The sequence below is a fragment of the Homo sapiens genome, chromosome 11, assembly GCF_000001405.40.
Source record: "Homo sapiens chromosome 11, GRCh38.p14 Primary Assembly".
NCBI lineage: Eukaryota > Metazoa > Chordata > Mammalia > Primates > Hominidae > Homo > Homo sapiens.
In genome coordinates, this window is record NC_000011.10 from 116,939,490 (window position 1) to 116,956,497 (window position 17,008).

General features: G+C 38.7%; 1 protein-coding gene across 20 annotated transcripts in view, besides 1 other annotated feature; it reads right to left on the bottom strand.

Annotated features, from left to right (window-relative positions):
• SIK3 (SIK family kinase 3) overlaps positions 1-17,008 on the bottom strand; it is a 255,027-nt gene that overhangs the window by 96,088 nt on the left and 141,931 nt on the right. For 14 of the 20 annotated variants that reach the window (XM_017017424.2, XM_047426672.1, XM_005271482.5 and 11 more), the window contains exon 3: positions 14,555-14,618. The exons of 1 other annotated variant lie outside the window; for it this stretch is intronic. In XM_017017424.2, coding sequence (XP_016872913.1) covers positions 14,555-14,618 — 64 coding nt within the window. 5 more of the 20 variants (XM_011542723.3, XM_017017425.2, XM_011542724.3 and 2 more) reach the window with 5 other exon arrangements.
• Positions 9,000-9,059: a silencer, noted in NCBI's record as "silent region_3927". NCBI's record gives its function as "represses an Ori minimal core promoter by ATAC-STARR-seq in GM12878 lymphoblastoid cells {active_cell/tissue: GM12878}" and the evidence as "EXISTENCE:reporter gene assay evidence [ECO:0000049][PMID:35858748]".

The window sequence follows — 17,008 nt, forward strand, 5'->3', positions numbered from 1 at the left end:
AGATAAAACATTACGTAAAAGACTGATGGGAAACTTTATAAAGGATCAATTTGGTGAACAATAACTATACCTGAAGATTATTCTAAGTATCACTAAAAGTGGGAAAATCAGATATTATACAACTCTTGAAGTGATGCAATAAAAAACTATGGAGCACTCCTGCTTCCCCTCCAAAAACTGAACTAAGCAAATTCCTAAATATAACTTCCACTTTCCAAGAAACACTGAACTACAGGAACATGTTGAATGACACAATAAATATATGATCAGCCAAATTCCAAATGTAGGACATTTTTTAAGACAATCCAGTTTCTTACATAAATAGATAGCATAGAAAAAAAGTAAATGTTTGTAGGGAAGAGATGAGGTTGTCACAGATTATTTAAAAATTTAGATTATAAAAAATTTAGACATTTTTCAACTCAATGGATGTATGGATTTCTTGCATCGTAATTTGTACAAACTATAAGAAGATGTTTTGAAACATCTGCAGAAAGCTAAACATGCCCTGGCTATTACATGATAGTAAGGAATTACTGTCAATGCTGTTGTATGTAAGAATGGCATTGTAGACTTCTGTTTTGATTATGAAAGAACAACTGATATTGAATTTACTTTACCTAACTATAGAAGCTGGGCTGTTTGTAGACACTGGATAATAACAAACACAGGGTTATGATTTTCAGAGAAAGTAAATGTTAATGTAGGAGCCAGGCAAAAATATTCCTTTAAGGTTTTTTTGTTTTTTTTTTTTTTTTGAGACAGAGTCTCACTCTGTCACCCAGGCTGGAGTGCAGTGGTGCGATCTTGGCTCACTGCAACCTCTGCCTCCCATATTCAAGTGATTCTTGTACCTCAGCCTCCCGAGTAGGTGGGACTATAGGCGTGTGTCACCACGCCCAGCTAATTTTTGTATTTTTTAGTAAAGACGGGGTTTCAACATGTTGGCCAGGCTGGTCTTGAACTCCTGATCTCAAGTGATCTGCCCATCTCAGCCTCCCAAAGTGCTGGGATTACAGAAGTGAGCCACCATGCCTGGCCCTTTGGGATTTATATATACTCAATACAGCAAAAATAATTTGATTTGTTCTCTGGGGCTCTTATTTTTATGTCATGGTAGAAATGACTGGATGATCAGACTATAAATGAATGTTTTAGTGTAAAGTGAGGTCAAAGCACAGGTGGCTTCCTCATACATCTTGGCCAGTTACAATATAAATGCTGGTCACAGACCCACCCCCGCCAGCTCCCCTCCTTCATCCATGCATCTCTCCACTTGCACACTCCTGGTGGGGGCATTAAAAAAAAAAAAGGATAAATAAATAAAATAAATGTTAGTCATATCTGATATTAAGAAAACAGAACAAAAAATGAATAATAATAAATGGGAAATTAATTAGGGAAATAAATACAAGTCAATTATTTTGATTCAGAGTGACTAAAGTTCAGTAGCATGGTTACTTGCTTGTTAGGAGACCCTTAGAAAATAGCTAAGTTTTTGTTTGTTTGTTTGTTTGTTTTGTTTTGATTTTTTTGAGACGGAGCCTCGCTCTGTCCCCCAGGCTGGAGTGCAGTGGCGCAATCTCGGCTCACTGCAAGCTCCGCCTCCTGGGTTCAGGCCATTTTCCTGCCTCAGCCTCCCAAGTAGTTGGGACCACAGGTGCCCACCACCATGCTCGGCTAATTTTTTGTATTTTCGGTAGAGACGGGCTTTCACCATGTTAGCCAGGATGGTCTCAATCTCCTGACCTCGTGATCCGCCCGCCTCAGCCTCCCAAAGTGCTGGGATTACAGGCGTGAGCCACCGCGCCTGGCCGAAAATACCTTTTTTAATAATCAAAGGAGTAAATAAACTAGTGGGAAAATGGTAGTTTAGTTGTGAAGACATAAAGGATGCTGCGGATTAAATAAAAACATGTAAAAAAAAAAAAAAAGCCACAACAAACCAGTACATAGTAGTGTTCAAACAAATGTGTTGTATTCTTGAACTTCCAGGCAGTCACAAGATAAAATAACCTATGTGAAACACTTAACACAGTATCTTGTACACAATGGTTATGCAAGTTAGTCTTTCTGATCCTCTGTCCTAATAGTTTTTGAGTGACCTATGGCATAAATGAATGGCTTTGTGAGAAGTTCAGGGTTCCATACATGTTGGCACCATTAAGAAATATTATTTTTAAGACACTGAGAATGTTCATAATAAATCATACACATTTCAACAGACTCCTCTTAAATTAGTAATTTGTTTTAAATGCCCATGAGTTCTGCCTGGTATTCAGGAAATTTTGCTTGATAAAGTGCTGGATTTATGACTTCATGGTCTCAAATAGGAAGTTTGGGGATATATATCTAAAGATATCAGAGTGTGGAAGTTTTAAATTATAAATTTAGTGGTTTACAAAACTAACCAGTTTCTCAATTCTGTTTGTAACATTAAATAAACCCACACTGTCATCACTGCTCCTTCATAATATAAGGCTGAATAGTATGCAAAAATAAACTGGATAAGTCAATTGAATGAGTAGTAAATATTCATGAAATAACCAATTACTGAAGTCTATTTATTACACTGCTTAGAATTCATAATCTTCAATATGTCTTTCTCTATACAGTTACCCAAAAAAGGTGCTTTCCCCATGTCAAAAACTCATTTAACTAAGATGTTATTAAATAACATGCAAATTCCATGCTTGACTTAGTTATATTTCATTATGACACAATGAAATACATTTACTGAGTGCCTACTATATGTTAGACACTACATTAAACAAGGAAGACACAGATGAATAAAACTTAAACGCCATAATCAGCAATCCAGTGATGTTCTTTCATTCACTTAGTATTTTATTCAACTTATCAATAAATATTTATGGAACATGCATTCCCTGTAGGCACTATTTTGAGTATTGAAGATTTGGTAGGAAACAAAAATGACAAAGTCTTTAATGGCACGTAAATTTTATTGACTCAAGACAGTAAAAAAACAAATAAATATATGTCAGTTCATGATAAAAACCAAAAAGAAAAGTAAAGCAAGACAGAGACTACAGAGCAATGGGCCAGTAGGAAGAATGAGATTTTAGACAGCATGGTGAGCAAACACCTCTCTAATGAGATAACATTTGATAAGAGACTGGCAAGAAACAGGAGAGACAGCCATGTGGATATGTAGGAAAAGAGTAATTCAGGAAGAAGAAATGGAATATATGGTCTTAAAGCGGGAGCACAGCGAAGGGTTTAATGAAAAAGAAAGATGCCGATGTGAGGAGGAGAGTGCTAGGAGCTGTGGTGAGAGACAGCAGGAGACCAAATTATATAATCTTATAGGCTATAGTAGGAATTATAAATTTATTCCAAATAGATGGGAAAGCCAACAGAAGTAGCTCAGTGGTAAGGTCCCACTTGAATTTTAAAAGAATCCTTCTAGCTATAATCGGGGGGGAAGTCAGGGCAGATTCAGAGAGACTATTTAAAGGCTACTGCAGTGATCTTAGCAAGACATGATGGTGGCTTAGACCAGATTGGTAGTTATGGAGGTGGTGATAAGTGATTGAATTCAGCATATATAGTCTTCCCTCTCTATCTGTGGGCACCACATTCATGGATTCAATCAAGCCCCTTGGAAAATAGTCAAAGGAAAAAGAAATGGACCAGAGTCTAAATTACCAGTAAAAGACAAACTTAGAAATGAAAAAAAAAATTACTTCAAAAAGTGCTATAGGAGAGGTATGTTCAAAGTGAAGAAAAAAAGGTAATTAGCTATTTGGCAAAATCAGAGCAGAGTTCACAGGGGGAATAACATTTGAGATGGGTCACAAAAGTTAAGGAGGGACAAAGAGGGCAAAGAAGGGCAGCAGGGCTTTTACATCGGGGCCAACACCTCCCATTGATAATCACTTTTCCAACCAACTCCTCTAAGACTAGCAATTCCTTTACAGGCCTCTTGAGGTAAAAAGGGACAATATTCCACCAGGGATTAGGAATTAATGTAACCTCTTCAAGGTCTCCACTAACAATACTACGCCATATGTTTGGGCAGCTGGTATACTCCCTTTCTGCCTCTCTTGCCTTCACATTCATCAAAGACACTCACCGAAACCTAGTTTGTAGTCTATTGCGCCCTCCACTCAAATTCTGCCATCACCTAGGGAATGTGAACATCAATGAGGATAACTTATTTGACAGTTTGCTTCATGGTTCCTTTAGCCTTCTTTCTCTCCGGTGACCTAGAACTCTACCAATGTATAGCAACTATTCCTATGGCCACATCTTGAACTTGTCTTTGCTTGACATTATTTTAACTCTGAAATTCTAAACTTCCCCCTCTCTTATCTTAACCTTCTAAATTAGCACTATCAAATAAAATACAATGTGTGCCATTTATATAATTTCAGATTTTCTTGTAATCACATTTAAAAGTAAAAAAAAAAAGCACTCATTTTGAAAATCAGTAACTTACTTTAACCAAATACATCAAAAGATCATTTCAGAATGTAATCAATAAAAATAATAGCAATGAGATAGGGTACCTTCTTTTTTCATAGTAAGTCTTCAAAATCCACTGTGTATTTTATACTTTATAAGCGTATCACAACTAAAATACTAAGTTGTCTATAGCCAAGGTGTAATGTAGTTTTATCAAAATAAGAGTTGCGTTTAATAGAAAAATATTTTAGACTCTGCAGAGTGAAGAACTTGGCCTTACCCAAAGAGAAGGCCTGGCCTTCCCTTGGCTTCTGGGAAGCAGTCTCTGGGTTCTTGGAATGTTATGTCTGCTCGGAGTGTCTCTGTCTGGGAGCCTTGGGTCATGCCAGAGAGTCTAATAACATGATTTAGGCTGGGATTCGCCACACCCATATAGTCTCAGGGTAGAGGCTGGATATACATTGTTGGCTGCACAACAGCGTGACTTGACGTGTGGGCTTTGGGTCACGAGCATCAGTTGACCGAGACACACAGATCAATCATGTGAGCAATCAATCAATCAATCAATCAGGCTTATGTAAAATAAAAACACTGAACACAGAGGCTGGGCTGAGCTTCCCTGATGGGTACTGCTCTGTACACAATGTAACACATCAATACCAGGAGTGTAACATATCTTGTATCCACATGGAAAGGACAACAAAAGTTCTGCATTTCGTACTTCTCCTGGACTCTGCACTTCCTTCCCTGGCTGATTTTAATCTGTATCCTTTACCTGTATTAAACCAAACCGGGAGTATATTAGCTTTCAGTGAATTTTGTGAATCCTTCTAGCTATTTATCAAACTGAACCGGTTTTGGGAATTTCCTGAACTTGTAGGTGACAGCAGAGTGAGGGGTGATCTTGGAGACTATGCTCTCTTAGTCTGTAGTTGGCTAACTCTCACAGCTGGCCTAAAACTTTTCATAATACCTCAGTTTTTAAATTTAAATGTAAATTAAATTCAAAACTCAGTTCCTCAGGGGCACTAGCTACATTTCTTTTTTCTTTTTTTTTTTTGAGACGGAGTCTCGCTCTGTCCCGTAGGCTGGAGTGCAGTGGCTGGATCTCGACTCACTGCAAGCTCCGCCTCCCGGGTTCACAACATTCTCCTGCCTCAGCCTCCTGAGTAGCTGGGACTACAGGCGTCCGCCACCACACCTGGCTCATTTTTTGTATTTTTAGTAGAGACAGGGTTTCACCATGTTAGCCAGGATGTTCTCAATCTCCTGACCTCGTGATCCGCCCGCCTCAGCCTCCCAAAGTGCTGGGATTACAGGCGTGAGCACAACAGCAACATGTGGACAGTGGCTGTCGTGTTGGGCAGTGTAGTTTTAGACTTTCATCTCTCCAACCTTCATATGCCCAACACACTAACACACTTGCTTTTCAACTTCATCTAGACCTGTAGCTTCATGAATTCTTTTTTTTTTTTTTTTTTTTTTTTAAATAACAGAGAATTTCTCCATGTTGCCCAGGCTGGTTTCAAACTCCTGGGCTCCAGTGATCTGCCTGCCTGGGCCTCCCAAAGTGCTGGGATTAGAGGTATGATCCACCATGCCCAGCCAGCTTTAAAAATTCTTATTTAAGATCAGTCATCCTGGTCTCACTTGCCTTCCCAACCCACTTCAGCCTAAGCCCAAAAGCCCACACTTTAATTACATTATTGCTAGTGGCCTCAAAACCCTTGTCACCTGTTGCCTCTTCATTTGCACATGTCCTGTAAACTCTAAACAGGATCAGTCCAATTGTCTGTCTTATTCAATTTACACACAGGTAATTGAGCATTGGTGGTAGGGGAAAAAAATCACTCAATTCTGTATAATGGAATAACAAGTTAACTGTTTCCTATCTCTAAGGCCTTTAATCAACTTATTTAGCTATTCTTAATTGCCCTCTCTCTCATTCCTCCCTGCAGCTAATTTCACTTTCTCCATGCTGATCCAGGTCTCTACCCTCTCACCCTTAATTCATCTGATAACATAATCTGCTACTCTCAATAGAAAATTATATGAAAAGCATGAAACATCTTTTTCACATTCTTCTACCTAAAAAATTGCCTACACCCACATGCATCCTTTATCTTCTATCCTTCTTCATGTGCAAGGCTAATTTCTTGCAATTATGCTCATCCCTCAGTTCCTCATTGATCTTGCTTTAGAGATTGTTTTCCATATCAATTATTTTCAAACTCATCTTCCCCACTACTGCATCTTCAACCTCAACCTGTAATCAAGTCTCATATTTAAACGAATCAAAATAAAACAAACCCCTCCTTATTTCCTGTCAAGTATCAAGAGGGTCTGAGATCTCACCATTTCTGCAAGCTAATAACTCAACCTGCCACAATTACATGGGTGATGGCAGAAGATAGGAAACCCCTCTGTCAGAGACAAAAGACTTTGTCACTTACGGCACAGCAAGCAGCATGAACATCAACATATTTGCTTCAGTTCCCCAAGCCCTAATTTTCACAGGGCACTGCAAAGGGGACCAGATGACGCCTACACACACAGTCGGGTCCATTATAGGAGAGGAACCCTGAGCTTGGAGCTTAGGGAATCTTTCACACTGGGCAATAAACAGATCTTTGAGCTGTGGAGGGAGATACTATCTCTGTCTTTCAAGGGTGCTCACTATATAAACATCCTTGAGAAAACAGTCTAGAACAAAGGCAGTCAGTGCCTTACTCATGAAACATGAAGAAATGTGAGATATCCGTGGAGAACTCTCTCCCAACAACCTTGCTTCCTGTACAAACTACTGTCTTCTCCCTTCTTTCCTTCAGAGCAATGCTTCTCAAAATAGCACCCAATGCCTCCACTTCTTTAACATCTGTCTCCACCTCTGCCATTTTATTAATATTTCCCTAGCCAGGCCAGGAGCGTTGGCTCACGCCTGTAATCCCAGCACTTTGGGAGGCTGAGGCGGGCAGATCACAAGGTCAGGAGATCAAGACCATCCTGGCTAACATGGTGAAAACCCATCTCTACTAAAAATACAAAAAATTAGCCGGGCATAGTGGCGAGTGCCTGTAGTCCCAGCTACTTGGGAGACTGAGGCAGAATGGTCTGAACCTGGGACGTGGAGCTTGCAGTGAGCCGAGATTGCGCCACTGCACTCCAGCATGGCCACAGAGTGAGACTTCGTCTCAAAAAAATATATATATAATATATAAATTATTATTTATATATAATATATTATATATAAATTATTATTTATATATAATATATTATATACAAATTATTATTTATATACAATATATAATTATTTATATATTTTATATATAATTATTATTTATATATTATATATATATATAAAGTCAGAGAATATGCTACAACATGTCAACATGTTCTAGCAGTCAGAGAAAGGAGGCCCAGCAAAAGATACTAAGAAGGAACAGTCCGAACAATAGAAGAATCAGAAGTTGAACATTTGTGGAAGTCAAAACTAAGAGCTTTAGAAGGAAACAGTCAAGAATTCAGATGCTACAAAGAGGTCAAATGAAGTAAAGACTATCAATTTGCAACCAGAACACCATTTTTTACTTTAGCTAGGGAAATATATATATATATATGTATGTATGTATGTATGTATGTATGTATGTATGTATTTTTTTTTTTTTTGAGACAGAGTCTTGCTCTTTTGTCCAGGCTGGAGTGCAGTGGCACGATCTCGGCTCACTGCAAGTTCCGCCTCCCAGGTTCACGCCATTCTCCTGCCTCAGCCTCCCAAGTAGCTGGGACTACAGGTGCCCACCACCTTGCCCAGCTAATTTTTTGTATTTTTAGTAGAGACGGGGTTTCACCGTGTTAGCCAGGATGGTCTCATCTCCTGACCTCGTGATCTGCCCACCTCAGCCTCCCAAAGTGCTGGGATTACAGGCATGAGCCACCGTGCCTGGCCTCTATTTCTTCTTAAGTCAGTTGTTTCAACAGTTGGTATCTTTCTAGGAATTTGTCCATTTCATCTAAGCTGACTTTTTTTTTTTTTTTGAGACAGGGTCTCACTCTGTTGCCCAGACTGGAGTGCAGTGGTGCAATCATAGCTCACTGCAACCTCCACCTCCTAGGCTCAGGTGATCCTCCCACTTCAGCCTCTCGAGTAGCTGGGACTACAGGTGTGCACCACCATGCATGGCTAATTTTTCTATTTTTTTTTGTAGAGATGGTGTTTCACCATGTTGCCCAGGCTGGTCTTGAACTCCTGAGGTCAAGCAATCCACTCACCTCAGCCCCCCAAAGTGCTAGGATTATAGGCATGAGCCACCAAGCCCAGCTGATTTGTTGATGTATAGTTGTTCATAATATTCCTTTATAATCATTTTTATTTTTTTTTAAGACAGGGTCTTGCTCTGTTGCCCAGGCTGAAATGCATTGGCACAATCATGGCTCACTGCAGCCTTGACATCCTGGGCTCAAGTGATCCTCCTGCCTCAGCCTCCTAAGTAGCTGGGACCACAGGCTCATGCTACCACATCCGGCTAATTTTTTATGTTTAGTAGAAATGAGGTCTCACTATGTTGTCCATGCTGGTACTGAACTCCTGGGCTAAAGCAATCCTCCCACCTCAGCATACCAAAGTGCTGGGATTATAGGCGTGAGTCACCATGCCCAGCCCATTTTTGTTTCTTAAGGGACTGTAGTAATGTTCCTTTCTTTCACTTCTGATTCTAGTCATTTCAGTCTTCTCTTTTTCTCTTCTCTCTCTCGTCAATCTAGCTAAAGATCTGTCAATGTTGTCGATTTTTTCAAAGAACTATCTTTTGGTTTCACTGATATCCTCTATTGTTTTTCTATTCTCTATTTCATAATTTCTGCTATAATCTTTATTTCCTTCTTTCTGCTTGGCTTCAAGACACTAGAAGAGGAAGAACAAACTAAAACTGAAGCAAGCAGAAAGAAGGAAATAACAAATATTATAGCAGAAATTATGAAATAGAGGATAGAAAAACAACCAACTATAATGGAATGAAATTGGAAATCAAGAGTAGGAAACATTCGGGAAATTCACAAATATGTGAAAATTAAACAACACACTAATAAATAAATAATGAAACAAGACATCAAAAGTGAATTCAGAAAATACTTTCAAATGAATGAAAATGAAAATACGGCATACTAAAACTCATGATATGCAGCCAAAGCATGCTTAGAGAGAAATTTATAGCTGTAAAATGCCCACAGTTAGAAAGATCTCGTATCAATAACCTAAGGAGCTATGACTACAGGCGCATGCCACCATGCCCAGCTAAAAGCTAGATTCTTCTAGTGAAGTTTATTTCTCCATATTTACAGTGTTCAGCCTCTAATGTGATTCCTCTGGAACAGGCAGCTTCGGTATGCCTACAGTTAGTTACCTTGGGATCACAGTGTTTTTGCTAGGACTTTCTTCCTCTCATTTACTGACCATACTCAGCCGTTAAACTCCACTAGTTGCTGGCTGATTGCCCTTTTGTTTTGAATAATGCCCTGGGGCACAAATTGGTCTACAAACAATACAATCAAATTCTGGTTCCTTTGAAGAAATAATTTTTGCCATCAGTGTTTTTTTGTTTTATTTTTGTTTTTATTTAAGACAGGGTCTCCCTATGTTGCCTATGCTGACCTCCAACTCCTAGGCTCGAGCCATCCTCCTGCCTGAATAGCTAGAATTACAGGTGTGCACCCAGCCAGTGATTTATTTTCATTCTAATCCCAGAGAAGCTCTTTCTAAATTAATTCATTGGTTCTCCCCCTGCGAACTAGCAAACCTACCATTTGGCCTGTTTCATGAATCTCTTCTCAAATGTCCTTTACCACAACCTCCACTGTTCTTTTTCTTTTTTCTTTTCCCTCTACTGTTCTTGAGAGTACAATCAGGTTTGAACTTCTTCACTCCCTGTTGCAAATGAAGTCAGTTCCTTTGGGAAGAAATTAGGAGCTGTTTTATGGTTTGTTTTTCTCCACAGGTAAAAATCTCAGAGTTAGGGCTCTGGAGCTGGGGTTGGGGACAACAGCAAACTTCTCTGAGTGACGCTCCCACTCTAGGAACTGAGAGTTTGGTGGATGGAGAGCGGGGGAGGACAGCAGCCTGGGGTCCTCTCAGCTTGCCTCTCCTAGCAGCAAAAGACAGTGAAACCACTGTCTTAATACCCAAGGCAAGAGTGATCTGGGTCCTAGTATTCTCGGCATACCTGATCAAGTTCCACAAGTGGGGGCTGAGTAGAAGAAGGGGCCCCCATCTCTTAACTGCACTTCTCCAGGACTCAGCAATAGGCAGCTCGGGGCAGAATGAGAATTGCTGATGTCCAAATCCTCCTGGGAAGAAAGCTGCTATTCAGATGCTGGAGAGAATTGAGGAGAAGTGACAAATAAAAATTACAGGAGACCATTGTTTTCGAATAAACTTCTGCACTAGGCACCAACAGACCAAACTAAATATCAAAATGGAGTCACTCATGCTAAAGTTCCAAAGCGAAAACTAGGTTGTTATCTGACCTGAGAAATCAGGAGAAAGAGATAACAGCCAATTTCCCAAACAGCCCAGTCTAAAATCTTTAACTGGCACAATGATGAAGTTCCCTCTGCTTTAATCCTTACTAAAAAAGGTAGCCCGAAGTAACCTGATGTTAACTGGTTAATTTTCTATTGTTCTGTTTAAAAGTAACCAATACACTGTTCAGACTTCTTAAGCCCTTCTGTCCATAAGCCAAACTCTTCTGCTCAACTTACTGGAACACTTATTCTATGAAATGAAATGTTGTCCGATTCTAGAATCGCAAATAAAGCCAACTGGGATCATCAAACTAAACTTGCAATTTTGTCTTTTGACAGAAGGAAGCCCTGCGTTCTTGGCTGCAGTAGCCTGGACGGGAATTTCCACCTTGCTGACCAGACTTTGTTTCTTACCGAATTTGCACAGATGTTCTTGAATAATGTTCCTTCATTTTCTGCTTACTCTTAGGACGATTTCCAGAGACTTTAAATGACTGGGTTTTGTTTTCTTTAATAGTTTTCACTTGTTTCAGCAAGCAAGGCAGGTCAGCAGAGCTCCTCACACCTTGACGGCAGAAGTTGATCTCTCTCTCACATGAAGGCGTAAGGAAGCACTGTGCTAGAGCTCTATATATGCGATCTCATTTAATCTTCACAACTATAATACAAATATTCTAGATCTTACCTTATACAGACCTGGAACCTGTGCACCAGAATCATCTAGTAATTTGCTCTAAGTAAAAGGGCAAATAGGTGACAGAGATCTGATTCAAACCTAGGTCTAAATACATCCAAAGCCCAGGTTTTCTTGACTAAGCCCCTTTCATCTTTTTTACACAGACATTTTTAAAAATCAGAGCTCATGAGACAGTTCTATCCCTGTGCAGTCTCAATAATTTCTTTAGGTAATACACTATTTTCTTCCACATCTGGATCTTTTATAATAATATTACTTAATAGTATCAATAATAACATTTCAAATTCTATTGTTATATATTACATAATATGTGTTACAATATATAATTATAGGTTGGTGCAAAAGTAATTGCGGTTTTTGCCATTACTTTCAATGACAAAAGCCACAATTACTTTTTCACCAACCTAAAATATTTTGTTTTTAAAATAACATTATCAGAAGTGGTATTCTGTTTGTTCATCCCTTGAGGTACATTCACATGAAGTCCAGGACCAAGAAACGGATCTCTCTAATACTGCTTCCTGCTGGGTGCAGTAGCTCATGCCTATAATCCCAACACTTTGGGAGGCCAAGGCAGGAGGATTGCTACAGCCCAGGAGTTCACAACCAGCCTGGGCAACATAATGAGACCTAATCGCTATAAAAATTTAAAAATTAGCCTGGCATGGTGGTGTATACCTACAGTCCCAGCTACTCAGGAAGCTAAGGCAGGAGGATTACTTGAGCCCAGGAAGCTGGGGGTGCACTGAGCTGTGATCCCGTTACTGCACTTCACCTGGTCAACAGAGCCAAGACCCTAGCTCAAAAAAGAATAAATAAATAAATAAATAAATAAATAAATAAATAAATAAATAAAATCTGCTTTCTTAAAGAGTAAGGTAGATTGATGTGCCCTGTGTTTGGGTCTTTTTTTATTACAAACATTAAGATGACATGATCTTTTTTCTCCCCAAATTACCATTGTTTCCCCACCAATAAATGTCGTTCTATGAAATAAAATACCTAACAGGCAGCTCAAGGATTTGGGAGATGTTTGACTTTTTATAGAATAAAACTTGTAAAAAGGTATCTTCCAGCCTGAACAATATAGTGAGACCCCCGTCTCTACTAAAAATTTAAAAATTAGCCAGGTATGCTAGTGCACAGCTATAGTATCAGCTACTCAGATGGCTGAGGCAGGAGGATCACTTGAGCCCAGGAGTTCGAGGCTGCAGTGAGCTAGGATTGCACCACTGCATTCCAGCCAGGGCAGCAGAGCAATACCTTGTCCAAAGAAAAAACCTTATCTAGATAATGAAAGTTTTCTATTTGCCTTTGTATACATTTGTGATCTTAATTAAGGCAGGTTTATCATAACATGTGCCTGGAATGTCAGACCATAGTATAGTCTCCCAATAACATGACTGCTATTTCTCTCTCTCCAAATATTCTCTCTTGTGCTTTCATTTTCTGGTTCATAAATTTCCATATAACCATGCCCTCCAGGAAGATTTCCCTGATCTCCAAGAGTTAACCAAACTGCCATCTGCACTACTGTTCTCTACTATACAGAGTTTTACAGTTTCCATTCTCATCTTCAAAGTAATATGTTGATTTCCCTGTCTGTTTTCCACCAGATTTCTCCACGGAAAGGAAAACCAGTGTCTTAATTGAGTCAGCATCTCCAAGGCACATGATTGGCATATAATTATCATACATAGTGAAGGCCTACTATACCTTCTTGACAAACAATGCTATCCTTCAAATCTTGTAATGCTTTCATTTCTTTAAAATAAAGTATCCCCTCCCATACTATATTGAGTATAAATTTCTATCACCATTAGCTTTGACATTAACTAATCACATATACAAAGCCAATTAAATATAAAATTAAGAAATAATGATACCTCTTTTAAAAAGGACTAGCACTTACCCTAAAGATACTTTGACACACAAAAAAACACTAGATCGCTAGGGAAACTTTAAAAACACAAACACACACACACACACATCCATGCAGCCACAACTGACTAGTCATTAATAAGAAGATTCATTTTAAAAGTGATTCTATGCTTTTAAATACATTTTATCGTGCAGGAAGGAGCAAATGTTTAAAATAAAAATTAAAAAATTTTAAACTAGCAAGTGTTCATATTGATAAATTTTTTTTAAAATGAGGAAATTAGACAAATAAAGTATATAAAGAAACTTTTCTCTGTAGTTAGTTGCCAAAAGAAAAAATAAAAGACACATCAATTTAGATTTGGAAGTTTACCCTTTAACTCTACTTGGCTCCATTTATCACTGTTAGAAAAAAAATCGTTTTGTCAGTTTTTAGCATCTTAAAAATCAGATTTGTCAGTAACAAAGTCTCTTGCTTATTTCTGACATTGTGCTAAAGCTAAGTGTGAGAGGAAAATATAGCTACTGAAGGCAGAACCCCCAAAATTACAAGAATTACTGAGGGGAACTGTGAACACATGGTAAATAATATAGTTACATGTTATATTTAAACAAAGTTTAAGGAACGCACTCGGGTGAGATTATGTGCTCTAAGTGGCTCTTTCTGACACAACAGAGGCCCACACACTTGTGTGAGTTCTGTCGCACTTGGTAACCTCAATTAAAACCTGCAAACAGGAAAGACCCTAAGTCCCACGTTCAGAAAGGATGCTTGTTTTTGGAGATCTTTAATCTCAACTGTCAGCGCCTGACTGAAATAAACAAAACACCTTTGCTAAGGAAACAAATGTGTTAAAGGGATTTTACTAGATTAATCAAAACAAATTAAAATGCCTTTGTTGATAGAAAATGGCAGGATTGAAGAACAGCATCAAGTGACTGCTGCTCAAGTGACAAAGGCACTGAACAGCTATTTTAGGTTTGCCATAGTGTGCTCAATAGCTGTTTAAAGAATGCAATAAATGTACTTACCAAATATTTCCCCTCCACTAGCATATTCTGTCACCAGATAAATCATCCGTTCTGTCTCCATAACCTGGTGCAAAGGCAGGAAAGTGACAGACAGTGACACAAATGACAGGCTGATACAGGAAGATAAACTAATGACTCCTCTTTTCTCATTTGAAATATTAATAACCACTATAGATTAAAGAAAATTTAAAACATTTTTGGGGAAACAAATATAAATGTTATTAAGAAGAAAGGGAAAATTAGATATTCCTCCAAGTTCTTAAAAGTAGGAAACATTTATTGCTTGAGAGAGATAGGCTTTTTGATGTTCCATGAGGTCTCTGCAATCTCTTAAGCTCCATAAAACTGAGAGGCAAAGAAGTTGTCAAGAACCAAAACTTAAACTTCAGATTCAACATCAATCATCTGAAGCACAAAAATGCCCTATCAAATCAAAAAAAAAAAAACTAAAGCAAAAAGAAGCCTTTGGGGAAAATAATGGGAGTCACATAAGAACGCCACAGAAATCACATATGTCTTTCTTTTTTTTATAGAAATGACAACTTTCCTTTCCACTGCCCATTTATTTGAAAAAAAGAGAACAGTAATTTAAAATACTCAACCTTTTAAAGTAACGTAAGTGATTTGTGTTTTGTCTTGGTCCCTTTGTTGCTCCTTTTTAAAATTCATTGTAGTATGTTGTCAGTCCTTTCTTCCTTTTTACATTTTCCATCAAACATTTTTAAAAGTAATAATGATTACATACACTCATTATAAAACAAAAGACCAAAGGCTTTCCTCTTCCCAATCTCCTCCATCTCAATCCCCAGAGGAACACTGTTCTCTGCTTATTGTATATCTTTCTACAACAGTGCTGTCCAATAGAAATATAATATGAACTGCATATATTATTTTAACTTTTCTAGTAGCCACATTTAAAAAGGAAAAAGGAAAAGGTGAAGATAATTCTAATACTACTTTTTATTTACCCCAATATATCCAAAATACTATCATTTCAACAATTCTTTTTAAAATTATTTTTAGTTTTACACTTAAATTAATTAAAACTAAATACAATTAAAAATTCAGTTCCGGCCAGGCGCAGTGGCTCACGCCTGTAATCCCAGCACTTTGGGAGGCCGAGGTGGGTGGATCACTTGAGATTAGGAGTTCGAGACCAGCCTGGCCAACACAGTGAAACCCCGTTTCTACTAAAAATACAAAAATTAGCTGGGCGTGGTGGCACATGCCTGTGATCCCAGCTACTTGGAAGGCTGAGGCAGTAGAATCACTTGAACCCAGGAGGCGCAGGCTGCAGTGAGCAGAGATCATGCCACTGCACTCCAGCCCGGGCAACAGAGTGAGACTTCGTCTCAAAAATAAATAAATAAATAAATAAATAAAATTTAAAAAACCCAGCTGCCAGAAAGCAAAATTAAAGCTTGAAAGAAGGCACTGCTCAAAGCTAGCACTGGACCTGTGGAAATCCTCATAGGCTAATCTTGGGTAAGACAGGCAAACTTGCAGAATTCAGTTACAAGGGTAATAGCTATAAGTCAACCTCTTGAGAAAGGTCAGCCTAAGCCCCACAATTATTTAAAGATGATTTATTTTAAAAGGTAAGGTCAAGAAATTTATTCAGCCCATCAGGATAGGAAGGAAGCTGAGGTTAGACACCTGTGAGCTCACAGATATAGGTCTTCAGGCAGCACCAGGAAGCTTTCATAAGTTTGCTTGTGGGGCAGAAGGTAGGCGTTGTTCAACATAATTTAGGCTGATAAATTTCAACAGGTCTGCTCCTGTTGACCTAATTTCATTATGTGAGCAGCTGATGCCAGGGAAGAGCTCTAACGCTGTAGTTTTAACCACACATGTTAATATCACAACATGTTTTCTTTTCCATAAAACTAAGAGGCTACGAAAGCTTGCCCATAGAGCCTTGGGTGTACTTTCTCCACTTTTACACATGGTCCTATGTCTGGGCCAGTAACCATTTACTGCAGACTAACAGCAGCAAAATAACCAAGTGGGTGGCCACGTCCTTCAGAACTAAGAGATGGCTGTTCTGGCAGAAAGCAGCAAGTAGAGTTGGGCCTATGCAGAGGCAAAGTTCTCGGCTGCCAACACATTGCAATTTGAGAAGCATCCCGAAGCCCCACCTCTCCCAAAATATCTCTTTCACCAGCCTGCTAAGGCAAGGTCCTCTCCTCCTATCCCGCTTGAAATTCCAGCCATCAGATTTACTGCTTTTGTAGTTATGCTAGGGAATCATTTTGATGATGGCATGAAATATGCATGTTTCTTGGGAAGACCAAAAAAAAAAAAAACTAAAATAGAAATCTCTCCTATTGGAGAGATCTGGTCACTTGATCTGGTCTCTTGATTATCAAAATAATTACTACCTTGGAAAACTAAGTCTACAATCCTATTAGAATAGAAAAGAGGTAGGTTTTGATTGATCCAAGAAGCAGTCCT